The following is a 22869-nucleotide window of genomic DNA, read 5'->3' on the forward strand; positions in this document are numbered from 1 at the left end:
ATGATGAGGCATGTCCCCCCACACGTCCCCCGAGATGTCCTGGCCCCTTAGTGGCTGCCCACCCATACACCTGCTCCCCAGGCGCCAGGAGCTACTTAGGGATGAAGGCTGTTGCCTGGGAGGCTCTCCAGCCAATTCTTTCTTTAGAAATCTGTGCAAGACTTCCCCACATGCTCCTGGGAAGCCATTCTGGAGCAGATCTTCACAGTAACTGCTTGTTGGGAAGCTTAAGCAAATGGCCCTGGAGCCCCCAGAGCCCCCAGAGTCCCCTGCGGTGGCCATGCAGGCTGTGTGGCCATCCCTGTCTGCCCAGGCAGAGGGGGACAACCAGAGAGATGCCCATATGTTACTGCCTTGTCTTTCACCTTTCTGAGCCAGCTGAGAAATGGATAGCAGACCTCAAGATTTTAGCTTTATTAGGGTAAAAGCGAGATTGAAGGCAGGGGGTGGGGGGCCAGTGGCATGGCCATGGTGGCTTCCCAGTAATTCCCACAAGAATTACATTCGCCATCACTGTCCCCTCTGGCTAAGCTCTGGCCTCCCCAGCCAAGGCAGGGGCTGACCATCTCAGAAGAGATCAGGGCGCCCCGAACCCTGGGGCAGGCAGGTCACCTGCAGGAGCCCTAACAGTGCTAAGCTGGGCATACCCCTCTCTTCCTCCCTTGTCGGTGGTCAGTGACTCATTCTCCCTTGTGGGTGTGAGAGTGGAGGAGGCCAGCACCTACATGGAAACCAGAGGCAGGGGCCACAGCACCTGCCCCCACCCACCACAGGTGGCTCTCAGAGCTTCAGCCAGACAGTGGACCCATGGAGCTCCTCCTGTCTACACAGCTCGGGCAACGCCAAAGGACCAAAGCAGAGTCTCCCTGAGGACTGCACTGAAGGAGGCGCCCGCCCCTCTGGAGGGAACAGGGATTCCCTTCCCCTGGTGGGACTGGCCATAAAGAAGCAGTTGGTAGGCAGGATCCGGGGCCTGTGTATGGCTGCGTGGTTGTGGTCCTCACTCTGGATCAGCCCCTATCAGCACAGGGCATCCTGAGGCAGGGGTTGGCCAAGTCCTCCTGTCAAGGGCCAGAGAGTAAATATGTTAGGCTTGGCAAAGCAGCCACAGCCAGTATGGAGAAAAAGGCATGGCTGCGTTCCAGTAAAGCTTCATTTGCAAAAGCAGGTGGTGGGCTGCGTGCGCCCACAGCCACAGTTGGCCGGCCATGGGCTGGAGAGGCCCGTGCAGGTACGGTCTTCTCTGATGCGTCCTGTGATGCCTGCGTGGTACCTGGGGAGTGTTTGAGAGCGTCACATACCACCAGAACTCGGAAACGTAGTTTTCAGTTTTGTAAGCGAACGTTGTATATTACTCACCGGATGAAATTAAGTTTTCTCCTCCCAAATCGTGGGCCTAAAGCAATTCTCTGAGGATGCCCCACGTCACCTCAGGACACTCGTCCCTCCCCCAACCCGTGCTGAGACCCCCAGGGACTCAAGGGCCTCAGGGGAGGGGAAGTCCATGCTGAGACATAGCTGACACCCACCCATGCCAACAGCCTGCCCCTGGCACAGGCCCCTGCTTGGTGGGCACAGGACTCCTGTCAGTCAGGGCCTTGGCCTTGACCCCAAAGACCTCGTTGTCCAGATCCCTGACTGACAGTGGCTGCCCCCCTGTCTTCCAGGTCCCCATCCTCATCCCGTGCCACAGAGTGGTCTGCAGCAGCGGAGCCGTGGGCAACTACTCCGGAGGACTGGCCGTGAAGGAATGGCTTCTGGCCCATGAAGGCCACCGGTTGGGGAAGCCAGGCTTGGGAGGGAGCTCAGGTCTGGCAGGGGCCTGGCTCAAGGGAGCGGGAGCTACCTCGGGCTCCCCGCCTGCTGGCCGAAACTGAGTATGTGCAGTAGGATGGATGTTTGAGCGACACACACGTGTAACACTGCATCGGATGCGGGGCGTGGAGGCACCGCTGTATTAAAGGAAGTGGCAGTGTCCTGGGAACAAGCGTGTCTGCCCTTTCTGTTTCCATATTTTACAGCAGGATGAGTTCAGACGCCCGCGGTCCTGCACACATTTGTTTCCTTCTCTAACGCTGCCCTTGCTCTATTTTTCATGTCCATTAAAACAGGCCAAGTGAGTGTGGAAGGCCTGGCTCATGTTGGGCCACAGCCCAGGATGGGGCAGTCTGGCACCCTCAGGCCACAGACGGCTGCCATAGCCGCTGTCCAGGGCCAGCTAAGGCCCATCCCAGGCCGTCCACACTAGAAAGCTGGCCCTGCCCCATCCCCACCATGCCTCCCTTCCTGGCTGTGTCCATGGCTGTGATGGCATTCTCCACTCAGCAGTTCCTAGCATCCCACACCCAGGTCTCACTGAAAGAAAGGGGAACAGGCCATGGCAGTCAGTGCTTACAGAGGTTTTCTAGCTTTGTTTCCTACCTGCCAAAAAGGCTAATGCAAGATGCATCCACTTATGGTCTGTATCAGGTGAATAGAAAATAACCATTTGCCAAGATTTGGAAAGACAGAGAGCTCTCTGGACACGGGTTCGATGGAGCTTGCACCTCTCTGAGAGCTGAAGTCAAGTCTCACCCTCTCTCCATACTCCCTGGCCTAGTGTGCTCTGGGCAGCAGGTAGGAAGGGACAGGGACCTCTCATCTCAAGGGCTGCCCCAAAGGGCCCTCAGGGACCATGGGCCTGTTAGGACCCCAGCACCCCAGTGTCGATCCTGGAAGTCAAAGGTCACGACTGTGGGGGGCCAGCTCATGTCACTGATGGCAGCAGGCAGGGTTTCCAGCATGGGCGGTGCGCTGCTGTCTGATACTTCATTATTGTGTTGTCATCCTAGCTGTATAATTAACTATATCCAAAAGCCGGAAGGGAAACCTGTAGCTCTGCATATGGAGAAATAAAACAGAGCATATGATGTATAGAGAAAATGAACTGCACCCAGCTGTGCACTAGAGCGCCATGTTCTTACCCAGCATTCCTTGCCACGGTGTGAACCACAGCAGGGAAGCTCGCATGGTTCTACACGTCACCGAGGCCTGGATGAAAATGTGGCCTCACGATGTGTATGGTTGGGACCCGCCTTCTATTTCATTTTATCTTAACACCAACGAAAGAAAACCGATTTCAGACGTTTTTCGCTGATTTATGATTTATTATATCCCTTTCTGGCATCAGCCAAAATCTCGGTTTTTCCTATGACATGAAGTGATGTGACTCTTACCCCGTTGTCTTAACTCTTGGTATTTTTGAAGCAGGATAAGTCACACAGCGGGTCACGTAGACACGTGCTGTTTTGTGGGACAGGCCCTGGGCCTCCTTGCTCCTGGCAGGCCTCAGGTGCCGCACGCCGCGTCACCGTCAGGACTCGCAGGCTGTCTGGTCATTTTTGACGTTGCTGAAGGTGAGTGGGAAAAGCTGGGTGCACTCTGCCCCAAAGGTGGTGCCCTGTGTCCCCCACAGATGATGGCCCTCCCCAGTGATGGCCGGTCACCAGGCACGGCTTTCCCCTCTGCATGAACAGAACAGAAGCTTCTGGCTCTCCAAGGCAGCAGCTTGGGGCCTGGTGGCCCGGGTGTGCGAGCCGCGAGTGCTTTCCAACAGAGGGCACCAGAGCCGTGCGGTGTGCTGTGGAGACCCCAGCACCACTTCCCCTGCTGGAGGATGGATTTGAAGGAGGGTGGCTGGGCGGCACCCCGATGGCTCCCTGTGCTCCCTGAGACCCTACAGGCCGCCCTCTGCAGCCACACCTGGACCGGCAGGCATGCACGCTGCAGGCAGGCTGCCTCCGCTGTTTGGGTCCCATGAACGATGGAAGCCTCCCAGTGAGATCTTCAGGTCTCTCATCAGGCACAGGCTCTGAGGGAGGGTCCTGGGGCCACATGACTGCAGCCAGCGAGGGCCGAGCCCCCAGAATCCAGGTCAGCTCCTGGTGGCAGGGGACCTGCCCGTCAAAGCCGTCCAAGGTGAGCCAGCAAATCCGTGTGGCCTGGGAGCACAGGTGGGCCTGCTCGGACCATGCCCTTGGTGCAGTACAAAACCATGTTCTGCTTCCTCTCCGAGGGTTTCCGCGGCCCTGTCAGAACAGGCTTGATAGATGCCCGGAGGTTCCCTCTGACAGCCGCAGCAGCAGGGCTCAAACCGGCGGGGCCGTGTACCGCTCCAAGGACAAGCTCTGCCGAGGCCGACATGAAAAGCCAGCACGCGGGTCGCCTAGAGCCGCTCTGCCTCCAAGCTGCAGCGCCGTTCGTGAAAATACAGAGGGAGAGGGAAGGCACAAAGAAATACAAAACTATTTTCCAAATAAAAAGAAATGTCGAAACAAGAAAGCTGTGTTCTTCAGCCTTGGCCCTGGGTCCCCCTCACCCTGTCGCATTTCCCAGCACTGTGATGCTTTGAAGGCCGACACCGAGACCCGCCGTGCACGACAGCCACCTCGCAGCCACTCAGACCGGCGGACCACGCTCCCCTGTTTCCAGAGAGATGAGAGAGTCAGAAGTAATACTTGTTTTTGCAGAACCACACTTGTGGCAAAATAAGTTGCCTTTGGCCACGCAGGAGACTGAGTTTTGTGAGGGGTTGTCCTTCTCCCAGTCTCTCTTCCCGCTGGGAACAGAAGTGTCCAGTAAACCCACCTGCATTCCACGTGTCCTGTGGCCGCCTCCAGTGGTGAGTCTGTGAGGCCAGAGAAGAGAAGCTATGACCGTGCAAACATGCATGTTATGGTGTTGGCTGATGCGGAATCAGGAAGCTTGGAGGAGCTCTTGCATGAGGAATTGCAGAACTTAGGGGCATGAATTTGCACTTCCAGATGTGAAGGTTGCAGGCACCGGGCGTTGCAGAGGAAGTGGGCAAGCTCACCTTGTAGAGAACTTACTTGGGGTTTGTAATTTGTATACACTTCTTACCCAGCAGAAACAGCTTACTGAACACCCCTCGGGTGGCTGGATGATGTGCTAGCAACTGAAACCATCTCTGCGACTTAAGCTTCTCTGGTGCGTCGCGCCCCACGTGCTTCTCCAGAATCCCGTTTGGAGGGGCCAAGCAAGTCCAATATAGATAGGTTTATACTGAAGCCATCAGTTTTGTTTCTTACATCGTTTGTAAACAGCAGTATTATCCTGGAACTTGTTTCCTACAGAACTGTAAGATAAGGATAAAATCCCATCCACCTGAATTGCTGAGAAACGTAAGAGGTGGTGTGACCCGCTGGAGCCCTGTGGAGTGGCGGACTCTGGGGAGTAGCTGGTCAGTGAGATTCTCGCAGCAATGTGAGGCATCCTCCTCACAGAAATGCATTTACGGATGTTGCTGTATCCCCTGACCTGGCCTACAAGGACAGAACAGCCCTGGGGGCCACGTCCCCTCCCGGTCTCATCTGCCGCTTGCTCACCTTGGCTGTCCATGCACCCGTAGCTGTGACCATGGGCGGTGGCGCCAGCTCGGACTTCACCCCGTTGGAGCGGGCAGGATGTCACACTGAGCTAATGTGAGATTGTTCATGAAGCTACAGATCTTAGTGCTACTTGGGCTTCTCACAGCACAGAGGAGGATTCTGAAGTGAGAGATAAATTGGCTTCATGTATGAGCAAGGGGGAAAGTGTTTTATTTTACTAGGAAGATTTTACTGAAAGACCAATCCCGAAACGGCCCTTGCTTCGGCCACAGCTGCTGGGATGTCCTCGGGCCTCCCCTGTTTGTCTGCATGTCTTCTTGTTGCCATCGGGGCAGTGGAGTCCCCGGAAACAGTCCAAGGCCCTGGGGTGGGGGATTTAAATTTTTGGCTTCCCTCAGACCTCAGACCGTGTGGGTTTTTTTTTCTTTCTTTCTTTCCTGTTCATGGGCATTTGATTAAAAGTTTGTGTTTAAAGAGCTGAACTTCACATCAGTTTTACTTATCAGTTTGAAAGACATTGAGATCTAAACACGGCTCTGCCCAAGACCTCTGCCAAGCAGCGCCGTCTGTCTGTCTGTCTGTCTGAAGGGACGGGAAGGTGGAGAAACTGCAGGTACTGACCTGTCTCTAAGCCACTGAGGGCAGCCATCCAGTGTCCTCGGGACCCCATGGCTCCAGCTGCTGACAGATGTGAAACGTCTGGCCTCCATCACCCGGGTCGCCCCGACAAGGATCTGTAATGGGGGCAGGGGTGGGGGTGGATGAGAAAGTAGGAAGTGGATGCTGGGCAGCGAGGTGTGAACTGACGGCAGAGCCCAGCCCGACAGCACCTTTGATTGATGAAAGGACATTGTTAACAAGCCTTTAAAGTTTCTCATTAATGTTTTTTTCGTTGGAAAAAAAAGCCACCAGAAAAAAATTCCACATGGACAGTAATTAAGATCGATCCCGTACAGTATGGTATCAATGTTTGGGAGCCTTTAGGAAAAAATTATCCACCCTCCTATTAAAGACTTATTTTCAAGCTGCCATTTTCCAGGCTGTTGAAAGTCCCTGGCAGTGTGGGTACCTGGGCAGTCAGGCACGTTCCGCAGATGTGATGTGGTCGGCCTCACAGGTAATGTTTCTACTGTGGCCTGAGGATGGAGAGTGGAGCCCCTGAGCTTTAGTTGTCACGGACTCTGATGCAGTCAGGCAAGGAAGGGTGGGGAAGGATCTGATGGATCTGCTGCCATGGAGAAGCTGGAGTTCTTCTCAGCTCCGAGTGAGCCCCAAGGAGTGCGTCTGAGCAGAGTGCACGTGGTGCCCATGGTTCTCACCAGAGATGCTCAAGCCCTTGGGCGAGGGGGCTGAGCCAGCCCCGACATTGTACACACAGCACCACACACGGGCATACCCAACGGTTCTTTACAGGTCTTCGAGTTACACGTCACTGCTGTTTGGATCCCAAACACCAGCGGAACGCATGATTCCAGGTTGATTTGTTGACTCACATTAAGGAAACCCAGCTGGAGAAAGTATCAGGGTCCTAACGTTAAGCAACCTGCGATATTATGCAAAAAGGATTGCTTTTGTGTGTTGTGATTGCCATGGCTACGAGAAGAAATGGATGCACGTGTGAGACTTGGCTGGTGACAAGGAAGCATGTATGGACATGGAATCAGGTCCTGAGCAAGCAGGCGGTCCTCCAAGGCGGTGGAATTGGCCCTGGATCCCTGCCCAAAGGCCGCTCCGCTCTGGGCCTTGGTGGGAAAGCTCTGCCCTCTAGGCTGGCCTCTGAGAGGGCTTTGGTGTGACCTTCCTGTCACTGCCCACTTTCTAACCAGACAAGGAGGGTGTCTGTACCTGGCGCTAACCCAGGGTTTGGGGGACCGTCCTGCAGTCCCCGTCGGACAGAGAAGGCTTCGTTTCTCAGGAGCTCCAGGCTTTGATTCACTCCCACGATGTGTTTCTTTTTGGGGTAAAACAGTCCCCACGGGGAGTTAAATTTTAGGAAGCCATGAGATCCTTCCAGATGAAAGGCATCATGTAAGTGTATGATACTGTTACTGAGCAAAAGCCCCAGTGCTCCCAGGTGTGGCAACGAGACACCTGCACTCACCGGGCACCACCCAGCCGGGGCGGGCGCTCCCCGGGACTGGCAGGTTCTCTAGGTGTGGCAGTGAGACATCACTCACCGGGCACCACCCAGCCGGAGTGGGTGCTCTCCGGGACTGGCAGGTTCTCCAGGTGCCTCCTTCCTCTTGCAGCTTTGCTCACTTTGTCAATTTTCAGGAAGGGGAATTTTAAATGTCCCCCCAGTCCTGAAGAGATTGAGCAGCATTTTCAGGAGGAGGCCTCACCATCATCATTGCCACACTGGCCATAAACCAGAGACTCTGCTGGAGAAACCCTCTGCAGACCTTGGAGGCCTCACACATCCCAGTTACGGGCAGCGCAGCTGTCCCCTCCGGAGAAGATTCCTCTGCAATGGGAAAGCATTTGTGAAATGAGGCAGGGTTTACATAATTGGTGTGAGCCTGAGCACACCCGGCACACCTGTGTCCTCTGCGTACACCTGCCTGGGTGCCGACACTGCTTGCAGGTGGTTTTGGGGAAAGTGCAGGCCTGGCTTCCATATGGCACATAGTGGCTTTTCTAAGACTGTTCACATGTCTGCCAATGAGGAATGGCCCTGGCCCCTATTTCCTGTAGATTCCCAACACCACTGGAGGGCCCGTGAGGATCCTTCTGTCCCTGCAAGGTGTGGCCTACTGGGGTGTCCCTCCAAGGTGTGGCCTGCTGGGGTGTCCCTCCAAGGTGTGGCCTGCTGGGGTGTCCCTCCAAGGTGTGGCCTGCTGGGGTGTCCCTCCAAGGCGTGGCCTGCTGGGGTGTCCCTGCAAGGCGTGGCCTGCTGGGGTGTCCCTCCAAGGCGTGGCCTGCTGGGGTGTCCCTCCAAGGCGTGGCCTGCTGGGGTGTCCCTCCAAGGTGTGGCCTGCTGGGGTGTCCCTCCAAGGTGTGGCCTGCTGGGGTGTCCCTCCAAGGTGTGGCCTGCTGGGGCGGGTCCTGCCAAGTCTTCATCTCCATCACCACTCAGCAGGGTGTAGCCTGATGTGGGAGGCGCCCAGGAGGCGAAGCAGAGACATCCTGCCTTTCTTTGAAAGCCACCCCAGTGACCAAGAGGTAACTTGAAATCATGGGCACAAACACCCATAAATCATCATCACAGCTAAGCCGGCCCCCAGCCCCCTCCCAAGGGGTCTTCTGCTGGCACCACCACCACCACCACCCAGAAGGAGAGGTGGGTTGCCGAGTGGTCTGCTTTGGCCTGGCTTCACCAGGGATGGAAGATACTTGCAAGGTCCAGAGCCGTGGCTGACCCTGGAACTGGCAGGGAGGGGAGCTGTTTTGCAGTTGTCAAACCCAGTATCTGCCATGTGACGCTCCCTGCCCCACACTTTGCAATTCAAACCTCATCTGGGCAGGCATCCCTGAAATGCACCTTTCCCAGAGTCTTGCTGTTTCCAGAACTTAGGTATTCTCACTCAGGGAGCCGTCTTCTAAGCCACCATTCTGGAGGGCTTTCTTGGGAAAAAGCCTTTCGTGGACTCTGCATGGTGGCCCTGGGGACTGGCACTCACCTCCCCTGAGCCCCTCGCTGGAGACGGCGGAGTATCCCGACCAAGGGCTCCTCCCACCTGACCAGACGGGCCATCCACCAGCGCACCCAAGGCTGGACTCCAGCCTTCAGGGAGCCTCAGGTCCAGGTGAGTACATGGAAGAGAATCCCTGAGCCAGACCTGGGACGTTCTGGAACACTCTGGAGCCAGCTCTCTTGCAAGAGCTGTGGGCTGGGAGTTGGCACCACCAGTTCCATGGAGAAGTTGGCCTGGTGGTGGCTGTGGAGCTCTGGAACAGGAGGCCCCCAAGGGGCTGCACGCCAGTGCACAGACTGCCTCTCTCATTGCTGATGGGTGAAGCAGACCCTTGGGACAGAAGGACCCTGTGCTCCCCCGCCCCCCAGGCCAGGATCGGGTGGCTCTCATCAGAAGGCCCCACTCCAGGGTGTCGCTGTCGGCTTCCTGGGTCCCCAGCAGGCTTTGATCCTTCCCCCACAGCCACAGAGGGTGGGCCTCCCTCACCCACAGGAGTATTGGAGGGCAGTGTTCCCACCACGTGAGGTCCCCCAGGGTGCTAACTCCCCTGCCCTTTGGCTGCTGTCCTCCAGCTGTGCAGGAGTGGAGAGCAGCCCTGCTCCATACCAGCAGTGGCCAGAGGCGTTCTAGCCACCCAAGCAGGAAGCTCACAGCCCTGCCTTGACTCTAGGTTAACCAAACACAAGACCACCGTGGGCCACTGGCTGCCTCCACCTCCCCCTCCCCCAAGGCGGCCACACCCAGCACGTGGTCTGCAGAGGCCACAGTGAGCTGAACTGGGGAAACAAGGGCCTGAGGAACTGTGGAGAGAAGCCCCTTTCCCAAAGAACCTGCACAGTGAGCATGCTCTCGGAGCCCCCGCAAGGCCACTGGAGGAGACAGCCGGGCTCTGGCTACCCCAGATCTGCAGGGGTCACTGCCTTCACTCTGATGTGGAAGTGCGGCTCACAGGGCTCAAGGAGCAGGCAACGGAGCAGCCATGGAACCCCAGTCCCTGGGCTCCTGCATGCACTGAAAGCCTGGCGGGGTGGGTGGTGGGAGAAAGTACCCAGAGGTGACGGGGGAGAGGGACGAAGGCCTCAGGCCAGCTCTGATGTCCCAGAGGCATCTGAGTGCCATGGGCACTGGGCCCAGTTCAGGGCTTTGCAGGCTTCTGGATACCCCGTGTGGCTGGGTTTTAGGCCAGGACTGTGACCTGTGGTAGAAGGTCCAGAGTATCTCAGGACATCCAATCCCAGAATCTTCCTGATCCAGGGATGTCAGGCCTGAGTGACCATGCCCAGAAGCCAGAGGGAATCCTGGTGTCTGTAGCCCTGACCGAGTGTCAGGCACTTTCCCCAGGCACACTTGGGCCTCCCAGGAATGTCCTTCAGCTGCAGGGATGCAGCCCTGGATGGCATGCACAGGGTAAATCCAGAATGTTCAGACAGGTAAAAAAAAAAAAAGGGCCATAGCCATGTCAGCTGCTGGTGCTCACAGACATTCCGCTAATAAACTGTGACAATGAGGATGGCAGATGAGATGTAGGATGTTGTGGTTCAGGCCTGGGAGAGGTCGAGGCTGGTGGCCCCACAGATGGGCTGGTTCTTTTCATCACCTTTTAATGATTGCATCTGTGGGGTGAGCATGTTCCTCTCGACCTTCTGCTGTGTCCCCCTCTGAACCAAAGCCTGAAGTGGGCTGGGCCTCCTCCCATTAGGCCTCCTGCCGGGACCCGCCTTGCTTCTAAGGTGGAGGGACATCTTCCCCTGACTCGGGAGGGCCAGGTCCTGCCACTCAGACGGGAGGCCACTGCATGGAGCCAGGTCCTGCCATTCAGAGCAGGGGGCCAACGCATGGAGCCAGGGTGGTAAATATGGGCCTCCCTGACCCGACCTGCCCAGGGAGGTCCTCGGTGTTCATGTCTGCAAAACAGCAATGGGGGAGCTTGCCTCAAAAGAGTGCTGGAAATAGCAAGAGACTTCAAAGATCTTTGAAAACTTTACAAGGCACACAAAAAAATACAGTGATCACAAAATCTCTCCAAGGCACATGCAAAGAAGTATGGCCAAGGATATGTTTTGCATAACACAACCAAAGTTGTGTTATGCAAAGAAATGGGATCAACCCAGTGACCCAGCAATGAGGGACTGGATACATCCACTGGAAACATTCAGTAGAATGGGTGTGATCTCAGCCTGTTTGTCTTCTAAGGGGAAGAGGCCCATCCCTACAGAGTAGCAAGATGACACGTAAGGCATGTGCCCAGGTGCGATGCCCAGAAACAGGCCAGAGCTCATCACCTGTCTCTGGGTGAGGGGATTACAAGCAGTTTCCCTTCTTGCTACCTAGATATGCAGGTGTGTGTATACAAACACACACACACACATATACTATACACACTACCTCAGGAGGGAGGAACAAAGGAAGGAAGGAAGGAATCTCAGGTTTTTTAAATGCAGCCTGTAACATGTGAAGGTTTTTAAAATTTGCTTTTCATTTCCATTTTTATTTTAGATTCAGGGGAGGCATGTGCAGGTTTGTCACAAGGGTGTATTGCATGATGCCGAAGTTTGGGCTTCTATCGATCCTGTCACCCAGATAGTGAACATCTGTATCCAATAGGAAAATTTTCAGCCCTTACCCCCTCTTCCCTCCCTTTGGAGTCCCCAGGGTCTGTTGTTCCCATCTTTATGTCTGTGTGTACCCAAGACTTAGTTCCCACTTATAAGTGAGAACATGGGGTATTTGGATTTCTGTTCTTGCATTAATTTGCTTAGGATCATGGACTTCAGCTGCCTCCATGTTGCTGCAAAGACGTGGTTTTCTTCTTTTTTTATGGCTGCATAGTATCCCATGGTGTATACTGGATAAAGTGGACTTTATCCAGTCCACTGTTGATGGACACCTAGGTTTATTCCATGTCTTTGCTATTGTGAATAGTGCTGCAATGAGCATAGGGGTGCGTGTGTCTTTTCAGTTGAACAATTTTTTTTAGTAGATACCCAGTGACGGGATTGCTGGATTGAATGGTAGTTCTGTTTTAAGTTCTCTGAAAAATCTCCAAACTGCTTCCCACAGGGGCTGAAGCAATTTGCGAGGAATCTCTATTTTTTACAAAGAAAGCTCAAGAGAGAGGAAGCAGCGGAACCCCTCCACACAGCGCAGACCCCCAGGACCCACATGAGGAACACAGTTCTCGATTTGAAGAGACCAATTCCCAAGGAGGTTTATAAGAAGAAATACCTGTTAGTGTTCATTTACTTTCTCAGGAAGACCCCGGGGTCTGAGGAGAAGTGGTCTTTGAAGTAGTTGGTTCATAAGTTATTGACCGAGGGTCTAGGGGTAGAGGAAGCTGTGCCTGGCCAGCTCCGTGGCTGTGTTCTCCGGGGAAGAGTTATCATTTTGTTAAGAAGTTACTCTAAAGGATGCTTTTAAGGCAACGACCAGAATGTAGACAGAAACTAGCATCTGCCCCCAGAGAGTGCGTACCACCCAGGATTGCGAAAGCGCTCTCATCCCAGGTACACAAGAGCCTCTGTGTGTCTTATGGCTTTTATGATTTTAAATGACGTGAGGTATGCACGCGTGACAGCAGATTCATGGGGGCTGCAGAAACCCCTTGAGAAGAGAGGTATGTTGTCTCTGCACCTCCTGTACACAGGTTGTGTCGGGGGTTTCCTAACCTGGGGGCGGAGGAGTTCGGTGTTCGGTGCATGCGCGTTACAACTTCATCACGTGTCTCCTTCCAGCAGCCCAGCTCAGGGGCCGCGCAGGAAGCCATGGAGGCGTGCCCTTTAGCACCAGTGCCCTCCCGTGGTCCAGGCTGCCCAGGGATGTGAGGAACTGGACGCCAGCGGCTGGACCCTGAGGGACAGCTGTGGGGGCCAAGAGGACACGTGGAGGTTTTTCACCTGCGTGGAGAAAACACTTAGGGAATGGGGGAAGCATAGTCGGTTTTTAAATTTCATTTTTGCAGATTCTGCCTCGTTGTGGCTGCCATTGTTATAACTCTTGTTTCTGTTGAGAAAGTACAGAGGGTGCCTTTGGTAGCGAGTTCAGAGATCACCAGCCAGCCTCATTTACTCGTCTTCCTGAAAGCAGCACTGGGCGAGCGGTCTAAACCCCTTGGCCGCAAGGGCCGGTCCCAGCCCTGTGAGAGCTGCCTGGGGTCCACACTTTCCCAGCCCCTTCTCAGTTTGTCTGCTGGGTGCTAGACAAGCTGGGGCCAGATGCCGGGAACTCTTGACAGCCCCTGGTTTGTGCTGATTTCCTTTCCTGGGCCCCCACTGGAGTCTTTCCTGGCTCAAGGCCTCCTCGTGGAGCTTCCTGGAGCTGGGAGCACACGAGCAGGAGGATCTTCAAGGCCAGGGAGATGGAAGTGCACACAGCAGAGACATCGTCTCACACAGCAGAGACGCCGTCTCACACCTGCAGAGGACAAGATCAGCAGGTTTCAGAAGCCCCCAAAGAAATGGGGAAAGCCCAGACCGCGGGGCAGCACGGCCACCGTGCCAGCTACTAAAGTCACCTCGATGAGGTCAGGAGGTGTTTCTTTTCTTATCCTTCAATGCTTTTTGTGAAGATGAAGCTTTCAGCCATGGAAGACATGAAGCCCGTGGGCACGTAGGCCTCATCTGCTTCTGAAGCAGTGGCTTTCCACACTGCTGCTGTCTTCCGGTGGACGCGCAGGCCTGGCAGGAGTCTTTGGACACAGCACGCCTGCTGCCTCTGCCCCGCCTGCACACTGGGAGTGCCAACACCCATGTCCCTGGCTGGTGGTCCTCACAGTGCCCAGCAGCCCACAAGAAGCATTGGGTGTTGGGGGAACATAGACGGCCTATTTTCAGCCACTTAAAGGGAAAATCAGCTCAAAAATCAACAACAAAAATTTGTTGCAACACACTATACATAATTTCATGAGAAAATCAAATTACACATAATACAAAGCGATTCGGAGTCCCCCGATAGCACTGAGAAGACCTGAGCACTGCATCCTCCAGCAGCTTCTAAATCCCTTCCTCCCTTCCTAAAAAGGGAGCAACATCAAAACACTCTCCTTATGCGCCTGACTTCAGAACGCCAAGACGGTCGCCACGCTGCGCTTGCCTAGGACCCAGCCAGTGCGGGCTGCCCTGAAGCTCAGCTCCTTCCTAGCGCAGGGCTGCACACCGCTTACCGCCCTGCAGTGTGGGCGTGAGTGCCCGTGTGGTCGTTTATGTCGAGGACTGTATGCTCTGACCACGATGCCACGTGACCCAGTTCCCAAACATACGAACCCACGTCTGGACCTCAGTGTGACTTAAGACCAAGGGCCCGAGATGGCACCGGGTGCATCCGCGTCGGCGCTGAATTCGAGCCATGGTTGAAAAAGCCAAGCATGGGTTCTGCTCAGCTGCTGGAGGGAGGTGGCCAGCTCCTGCGCGGTCTCCAGGCCAGGAGGACTCGAGCCAAGCTGAGAACACTCATTTATTTGAAGCTGCTGCTTCTTTGAGACACAGAATGACACATCTAAATAGTACAGCACCAAGAAGTATGTAGCTGCCTGTATTTTTCCGAGCAAACATCTGACTGCTGTGCCAGGAAGCAATATGACAGGTATTCTGTAGTTTCAAGCAAATTGGTCTCAGATGTAGATGAACAGATTTTCACAAGGAAAGGATGGAAGTTTGTCATGTGCTGGGCCTGAGCCTGCCAGGTGCTGCGAGTTCGTTCGTTCCTGGCTAAGGATGGAAGCCGCCATCTCCTCCCCCTCTCCCTTCTCCTCTTCCCGCTCTCCCTTCTCCTCTTCCCGCTCTCCCTTCTCCTCTTCCTGCTCTCCCTTCTCCTCTTCCCCCTCTCCCTTCTCCTCTTCCCCCTCTCCCTTCTCCTCTTCCCCCTCTCCCTTCTCCTCTTCCCCCCCTCTCCCCCCTCTCCCTCCTCCTCTTCCCCCTCTCCCTCCTCCTCTTCCCCCTCTCCCTCCTCCTCTTCCCCCTCTCCCTCCTCCTCTTCCCCCTCTCCCTCCTCCTCTTCCCCCTCTCCCTCCTCCTCTTCCCCCTCTCCCTCCTCCTCTTCCCCTCCCTCCTCCAGGAAGGCCCCCCAGAAACTCCACTCCCTGAGCAGGTCCCCTGGCTTGCCTCAACCAGCATGGACTTCCATCACGCAGGTTCCCCCCAGGCTGCAGTGGAGCCATCGTGGCCTTCAGGTTTCAGTGCTCAGAGAGACAGTGCCACATTTGGGCCCTGCCTTTGCAGAAGCCCCACAGATTGGGAACCTTTGGCCCGTTGCAGTGGGGAGTGGGGGATGGGGCAGTCATGCTCGGTTCAGGATCAGAGTCCAGCACATCTGCTTTAGAGACAGCTTCTTGTGCGGGCTGGATAACCTCTCCATTCCTTGGTTTCTGCAGTGGATTGAATGGGGGCCCACAGAGAGGTCTACATTAAATTCCTGGAACCCGTGAATGTGATCTTATTTGGAAAAAGGGCCTTACCAGATATGATTACGTTAAGGAGCTCAAGATGAGATCATGCTGGATTATCCTGGTGGGTCCTAAATCCAATGACAGTTGCCCTTATAATAGACAGAAAAGGGCCGGATGCAGCAGCTCACGCCTGTGATCCTAATACTTTGGGATGCCAAGGCAGGAGGATTACTTAAAGCCAGGAGTTGAAACCAGTCTGGGCAACTTAGCAAGACCTTGTCTCTCTAAAAAATACTTTAAAGATTGGCCAGGCAGGTGGCACACACCTGTAGTCCCAACTACTCAGAAGGCTGAAGATGGAGGAGGATCACTTGAGCCCAGGTGGTCAAGGCTACGGTGAGCTATGATAACACCACTGTACCCCAGCCTGGGCGACAGAGAAAAAACCCTGCCTCCAAAAAAGAGAAAAGGGGAAGACACAGACGCAATGGAGAAAGCCATGCAAAGACAGAGGCAGAGATGGAAGTGATGGCAGCCACCAGCTGAGAAACACCTGGAGTCACCAGCAGCTGGGGGAGGGAAAGGAGACTGCTCCCCTCACGCCTTCGGAGGGAGTCTGGTCCCGCCAGCACCTGATTACAAACTCCAGAACTGTAGGAGAAGACATTTCTGCTGCTTTCATCCCCCCAGTTGGTGGAATTTGTTGCAGCAGCCCCAGGAGCTCCTGCAGCCACCTCACCTGCAGAACAGGGATGGCAGCGGCCGCCCTCACGAGGCCATACCCAGGTTCCAGTGAAGGCGACCTGGCTTCCTGGCATGTGCAGAGTGCTCAGATTGTGGTGGCGGCTCCTTGGCTTCCTGGCATGTGCAGAGTGCTCAGATTGTGGTGGCGGCTTCAGGTTAGATTTTTGCATCAGACAAGCCCAGGTTCCAGTCCCTAATTCCTAGCTGTGGGACCCTCAGGGATGTATTTGCTCTCAGAAGCCACAGCTGCCTCACCTGAGGAAAAGCAGGCACGTGTCCACCCTGCAGGTCTTCTTTGGCATTTAATGGAAAGTTCTTTCCGTTGCCCATGCAACGTGCCTGTCATTTTGTATGACGGGGTAATGCCCAGACCACTGACTTCAGTACCCTAGGCCGTCCCTGAAGGGTGGGGAATTTATGCAGCGTCTTTTCTGGATGGAAAGCTGTTGAACATGGAGGTTCGTGGGATTGTGATGTGCACCTGGCATGGGTGTGTAACATCACAACTGGATCTTTGACGAACCTATAACTGGGGTTGCAGCTTAAGGTGGCCACCCTGCGAGACTGTGCCCTATGTCAGGGACACTCAGAAGGGCCTCTCTGACAGCAAATGCCAGGGGCATTTATGAGCCACATTTTTAAAAGCAGCAACAAATAAGGATTCCCAAAGCCCATGCCCCCCACTGGCTAGGCCTGCCTCTGATGTCCACGACAACATTCACAGCTAAGCTTGGTCACTGGGGACATGTATTTGCTCAAAAACAGCAAGGTACATTTTTAATACTAATGGCATCAAAATGAATCCTAAAGCCACTGTAAATAAAGCATTGTAGGGCCAATGCCACAACAGACATAAGTAGATCAATGGAGCCAACTGGCCCGTCCAGAAACAGCCACAGGTCTGTGGAATCTCAGGATGTCATCATATGGCATTTCAGTTCCGTGGGGAAAGGAGTCATTTAATACATGGTATCAGGACAAACTGGCCAAGCTATTTGGAAATAACGCAATTCCAGAAACCTTAGGGTTCTAAACATTTGTTAAATTGGGTTTTAACTGTTACTGTATCAGCTGAAAATAGGAGAAACATGCATCCATGTCTGCATTTGCAGGAAGTGCCTGAGAACACGGCAAGAACTCAGAAGCTGGCCGGGCACAGTGGCTCACGCCTGTAATCCGAGCACTCTGGGAGGCAAAGGTGGGCGGATCACGAGGTCAGGAGATCGAGACCATCCTGGCTAACACAGTGAAACCCCATCTCTACTAAAAAATAGAAAAAATTAGCTGGGCGTAGTGGCGGGCGCCTGTAGTCCCAGCTACTCGGGAGGATGAGGCAGGAGAATGGCGTGGACCCGGGAGGTGGAGCTTGCAGTGAGCCGAGATCGAGCCACTGCACTCCAGCACTCTAGCCTGGGTGACACAGCGAGACTCCATCTCAAAAAAAAAGAACTCAGAAGTCATAAAGAAGAAGGTTGACTTGCCTGACCTCATGAACCTGTTGGAAACAGAAGACAAATGGTACCCTAGGAGAAACCATTGGCAACATGTAAGACAGAAAGATTGTGTCCACAATATATAAAAAACTTCTACAAATCAATAAGGAAAAGGCAAACCACCCAGAAGATAGATGAGCAAGGAATATAGACAGGCACTTCGTAAAGGGAAACATACAAGCAGCAGCTGGAAGCCTCTAGAAAGAGCAGCAGAAGGACCCAGTAAGCTTGAGAGTGATCACCTGGAGTGACCTCCAGGGGACCTCCCACCTCACGAGTGATCATAGCATGACAAATTAAAGCAGGAGATAGCATTTTGTTGTGATCTGGGTGAAAAATGCAAACGACGTGTAATTCTTTGTCCACAGTGTAGAGAAGGGGCAGGCATTCACTGTTGGTAGTAATGTTGGCATGTTTTTGGAGGGTAGTGAGGCAGTATTGATTAAAATGGTAAATGCCTATGCCATTTGACCAAACAATTCCACTTTTAGGAATCTATTCTACAGAGTTATTTCCATGAGTATATAAGGCTGTAGCTACAAGGATACACATGGCACTGTTGTTTGTAACAGCAACAAATGGGGAACAGCACAAATGTCCCATGGGCATGGGGTTGGCTGGATACATCCCAGTAAATATGTCCACACAACACAGAACAATTCTGCTATTAAACGTGGTAGAGTAGCCCTCTATTTACTGACATGGGAAGGTAGTCATGACTCACTGCTGAGTGAAAAAGGCATATAAGAAAACATCAGGCTGGGTGCGGTGGCTCACGTCTGTAATCCCAGCACTTTGGGAGGCCGAGGCGGGCAGATCACAAAGTCAGGAGATCGAGACCATCCTGGCTGACACGGTGAAACCCCGTCTCTACTAAAAATACAAAAAAAAATTAGCTGGGCATGGTGGCGGGCGCCTGTAGTCTCAGCTACTTGGGAGGCTGAGGCAGGAGAATGACATGAACCTGGGAGGCAGAGCTTGCAGTGAGCCGAGATCGCACCACTGCACTCCAGCCTGGGTGACAGAGCAAGACTCTGTCTCAAAAAAAAAAAAAGAAAAGAAAACATCAGGTACGATCAGTGGTGTTTTATTAAACTAAATTTTTAAATTGTGCTTACAGACATAAAATTGTGGAAGAGAGATCATCAGATTATTTGCAGGAAGACATCTTAGTGGAAGTTGGACAGTTGGAGAGAGCTGCTTTGGTTGTGTGCCTATGTGTGAGTGAGTTGGGGAGAATTACTTTGGTGTGTGGGCCTGTGTGTGAGTGAGTTGTGCAGAGTCGCTTTGGTGTGTGGGCCTGTGTGTGAGTGAGTTGGGAAGAATTGCTTTGTGTGTCTGTGAGTGAGTGTGTCTGTGTGTGTGTTGTGTTGCTTTTCAGAGTTATTCAACTCTTATAAAAATGTCTTTATTTTCTAAGAAAGAAATAGTTGTTATCACTTTGAAAATATGATCCATGATTGTGTTTTAAAACTATATATATGGCCATGTTGTAACATTTTTTAAAAAGACCATCTGCAGAGCAAGGTGCTTCAGTGATTATCTCAGCACGAGGAAATCACTTCATTTTTTGTGTGCTTAACTGTACATTCTCAATTTTTGCCATGGAAATGCATTATGTTTGTAATCATAAAAGAACACACTTACTGGGTGAAGAGGAAGGACCCTGACACATGTACTAAGAAGACAGCATGGGCCCACGCATCTGACCACGTGACTGGTGTCACGTGCTTGACCAGCTGTTTATCAGCTTCGCCTCTCCACTTGCAGGGCAGCTGAGCACAAATACTCCAGGTGAGGTCATGCCCAGCCTGTCATCAGATAGCACATCAACATAAATGCAGTATCACTTCAGGGCTGTGAGGTCTCAGAGGGAGGGGAAAGGGTGAACTAGAAAATGAAGAGGGGCGTCCTGAAGGAGGTGGCAATCAAACTGCATCAGCTGGAGCTGGGCAGGACATAGAGGGCATCTTGAGTAAAAGAAGCAACTGGACTCCAGGGAAGAGGAGAGGAGGGCCCAGGTGCCACGGTCCCTACAAGATGAGACTTGGGGACTGGAGGGCCAGGCTGGGAGAGGGCAGACCCCTTTGCCATGAGCACAGGCAATGTGGGGCCAGTTCTTAGTGACATTTCAGATGGTGACCAGTCAGAGGACAGCAGGACGTGGTGGTCATCTACTCTCTTTCACAGGGGACACAGTGGGCCCAGCACCCCGGCCACATGTGATGGAGCCTCCAGGCCTGCCCAGCACCTACTGCCCTGGGACAGGCTCTCTTTCAAGTCAGCTCCTCTGTCCAGGAAGCATCTGAGAGGCCCTGTGGTCCTGGCCAAGGAGGCAGGCCGTAAGGAGGGCAGGCCCGAGGACGTAGGTGTGGCAACACTCCGTGTGGAGTAGTCTCTGAGGCCAGACCTGCGGTTCCTGTTTCCTGTGCCCTGGGGACCCAGAGAAAGAAGACGGATGGGCGCTGCAGTGGGGCGGAGCAGGCCTGAGCCCAGCTCGAGGAAAGCTTGCCTTCTCGTCTAGTGTCCCCGTGTTTTACATAATTAGGTAAGTCACTTAATGTCGCTGTGTCTTGTTAGAGAAGCTACTAATCCTTAGAGCTAACAGAACTAACTAATTAGTGTAGAACACTTGGAAAATATAAGAAATTCAGATGTAGAGTGTAATGTCCCAGTCCTCCCGGCATTGATGCTCGCACAGTGTCCCTGGTAGAGCCGCGGGCCTGGCTGCATCAGGAGGGATGGGTCTTGGAGGCGGTGGCATAATTGAGACACCTGTTCTGAAGCCCCAGGGCTGCCGGCCACACACCCTGCCCTGCTTAGCCAGCTGTAGGCCACGTGGGGACAACAAAAAGGGAACTATCCAGGGGCCATCTGCCTTGCTACCCCGGCACCTTGAGGCAGGGGCAGCCAGGTCAGGGGACCATGGGCTCAGAGCCCGTCGGAGCCACAGGGAGGTGCTGACATGGCCTGAGGGCTGGAGCTTCCCCCTGGGAGTGCCTGGGCTTCCACAGACTGGTGGTGGCCGAGGTCAGGGGAGCCGGATGTGGCAAGCCCCGGGTTTGGCTCTGGACACTGCCCATGACTGGCCATGCCTCAGCAAACCTGCTTTGCCCTCCGCCTTCTCTTCTCTGAAACGGAGCTAATGACGCCGCCTCGCAGCTCCTCCAGAAGGTAAAGACGGGATTACGGGACACCTGGCACACAGCCTGGCGGATGGCACTCACTGCTGTTTTCCTCCGTGACAGAGAACCGCAGAACTTCCTTCACAGTTGGCGAGCTATTCAGAAATGATACCCGAGTCCGAGGCTCGGCCTTCACTCGCTCCAAGCTCCGGTGGCACCTGCAGCCACCTGTAGGGTGTGCCTTTTCCTCTAGTATTATTGGAAATAAGATAGACAATCAAGTGTTCACTTCCTAAGGATGTATGGAGCTGTCGGCAAATCATTAATCTCTCTTTAAACCACGGTGACAATATTTACATTTAAGATCAAGATGATGATTATCTGAAGAACTCCCCTGGAAGCTCTTCTCACAACTGGAAAAACACAGCAGCCAGTTAGCAGAGCCACGTCCCAGGCCAAAATAACTGCCTGACAGTCCACGGGGCCAGGAGTCTACAGGGTGTTGGCGTGGGGAGGCGTGCTTCCCGCAGAGGCTGGAGGGCTGCTGTTGGCAGAGTAGATGGAGCTGCTCGGGGCACAGCATTCTGGCCCAACCTTGCAGGAATGTGGTTCTGACAAACCAGCTGGAGAAAAGCATTTCTGAAAAGAACTGTTTTAAGTTATTAAAAAAAAAAAAAAAGAATTTGGGGGCCTGACACGGTGGCTCATGCCCGTAATCGCAGCACTTTGGGAGGCTGAGACAGGTGGATCATCCGAGGTCAGGAGTTTGAGACCAGCCTGGCCAACATGTTGAAACCCCATTAGTACTAAAAATACAAAACATTAGCCAGGCATGATGACATGTGCCTGTAGTCTTAGCTACTCAGAAGGCTGAGGCAGGAGAATAGTTTGAACCTGGGAGGCAGAGGTTGCAGTGAGCCCAGATCACGCTACTGAACTCCAGCTCGGGTGACTGAGTGAGACTCTGTCTCAAAGAAGAAAAAAAATGAAAACAGAATTTGTGACCAAATGGTGCAGAAAACAACTGAGTCACAACAGAAGTGAAAAGCCAGGTAGTGGGTGTGCTGGGCACGGCCTGGCCAGGCCTTGGTTCCGAGAGAGAACCCCCGTGCCGTCCAGCACTGGGGGAGGCGTCCTCTAGGAGCTGCTCATTTCAGTCTTTTGTGCTCCTCATGCTGCTGTCAAGCCTGAATGATCAGCCCAGGACTCTCAAGGGGGTGTGAACAGCTTGGCGTGGTCTGATCAGGCCACTTTCCTCGTGTTGGTCTCTACATCAGGGCACTGGCATCTTTAGCAAGTGTTTTAGGAAACAGGTAACATCATCAACAAAAGCCAACATGTCTGCTCTTGATCAAGCACCTCCACATATATTGAGACCCCTGACGCCCACAACATCCTGTTAGATACTGTATCTCCGCCATCCCAGGACAGGTAAGTGCTTTGCCCTGAATCACCTCACTTTTCACCAGGATGTCTAGACTAGGGCCTGAGTCCATCACCCCAACATCTGTGCTGATCCTGCTAGGTAATGACGCCCCTTCCTTATCGTTCTAGAGTCAAGCCTAGATCCCCTACAAATACCCATGCACACTTAGAGCTCACTCTGGTTAAATGTTCCAAGAAGGATGTTGGATGGTCACTTGGTATCATCCCATGGAGTTCAGGATACCCCCGCCCTCTGAGCAGCCATTCCTCTCCCGAGCACATTCCCCTAGAGAAGCTCTGCACGTGTGCACAGGCACCAGCTGCAGGAGTGCCATCCACAGCACAGCTGTTTATGAAAAACCGTAATCAACCCAAACATCTGTATGAAGAAAAACGAAGAAATGCAGAGTGGCATGTTCACATGATGGAATACTATGCAGCTGAGAACATGAACAATTGGAGCCATGGCATGAATGAAGCTGAGAGATTTGAAGCGTCAACCAAGTAAGCTGTAGGAGATTACATGTGGTGGAAGACTAGTTTATAAATCTCACAGACAAGCCTTAAAGAAAATGTATCTCTTGAAATAAATGTATACACACAATTATACACATATATATGATAAACCCTTTTAAAAGGCAAGGGAATGATCAATAAAAACATAAACTGTTCCCTCTGGGC

The 22869-nt window shown here is 53.5% G+C and overlaps 1 protein-coding gene and 1 long non-coding RNA gene across 3 annotated transcripts in view, besides 1 other annotated feature; both read left to right on the forward strand.

Moving 5' to 3' along the window:
• Positions 1-5863, forward strand: part of MGMT (O-6-methylguanine-DNA methyltransferase) — a 303743-nt gene extending 297880 nt beyond the window's left edge. The window contains exon 5 of the mRNA NM_002412.5: positions 1668-5863. Within this exon, the coding sequence (NP_002403.3) occupies positions 1668-1877 (210 nt within the window). The 3' untranslated portion in view covers positions 1878-5863. The remainder of the gene's footprint in view (positions 1-1667) is intronic.
• Positions 2496-22869, forward strand: part of LOC107984281 (uncharacterized) — a 67711-nt gene continuing 47337 nt past the window's right edge. The window contains exons 1-2 of one of the 2 annotated variants that reach the window (NR_186705.1): positions 2496-9133; positions 19829-20186. This is a non-coding gene — a long non-coding RNA (uncharacterized LOC107984281). Of the gene's footprint in view, positions 9134-17467; positions 19433-19828; positions 20187-22869 lie in introns of those variants that run through there. The other variant, NR_186702.1, reaches the window with a different exon arrangement.
• Positions 8529-9226: an enhancer, noted in NCBI's record as "H3K4me1 hESC enhancer chr10:131571913-131572610 (GRCh37/hg19 assembly coordinates)". NCBI's record gives its function as "activates a minimal SCP1, AML or CMV promoter by ChIP-STARR-seq in naive H9 embryonic stem cells {active_cell/tissue: H9 hESC(naive)}" and the evidence as "EXISTENCE:reporter gene assay evidence [ECO:0000049][PMID:30033119]".

This window comes from Homo sapiens, chromosome 10 (assembly GCF_000001405.40).
Source record: "Homo sapiens chromosome 10, GRCh38.p14 Primary Assembly".
NCBI lineage: Eukaryota > Metazoa > Chordata > Mammalia > Primates > Hominidae > Homo > Homo sapiens.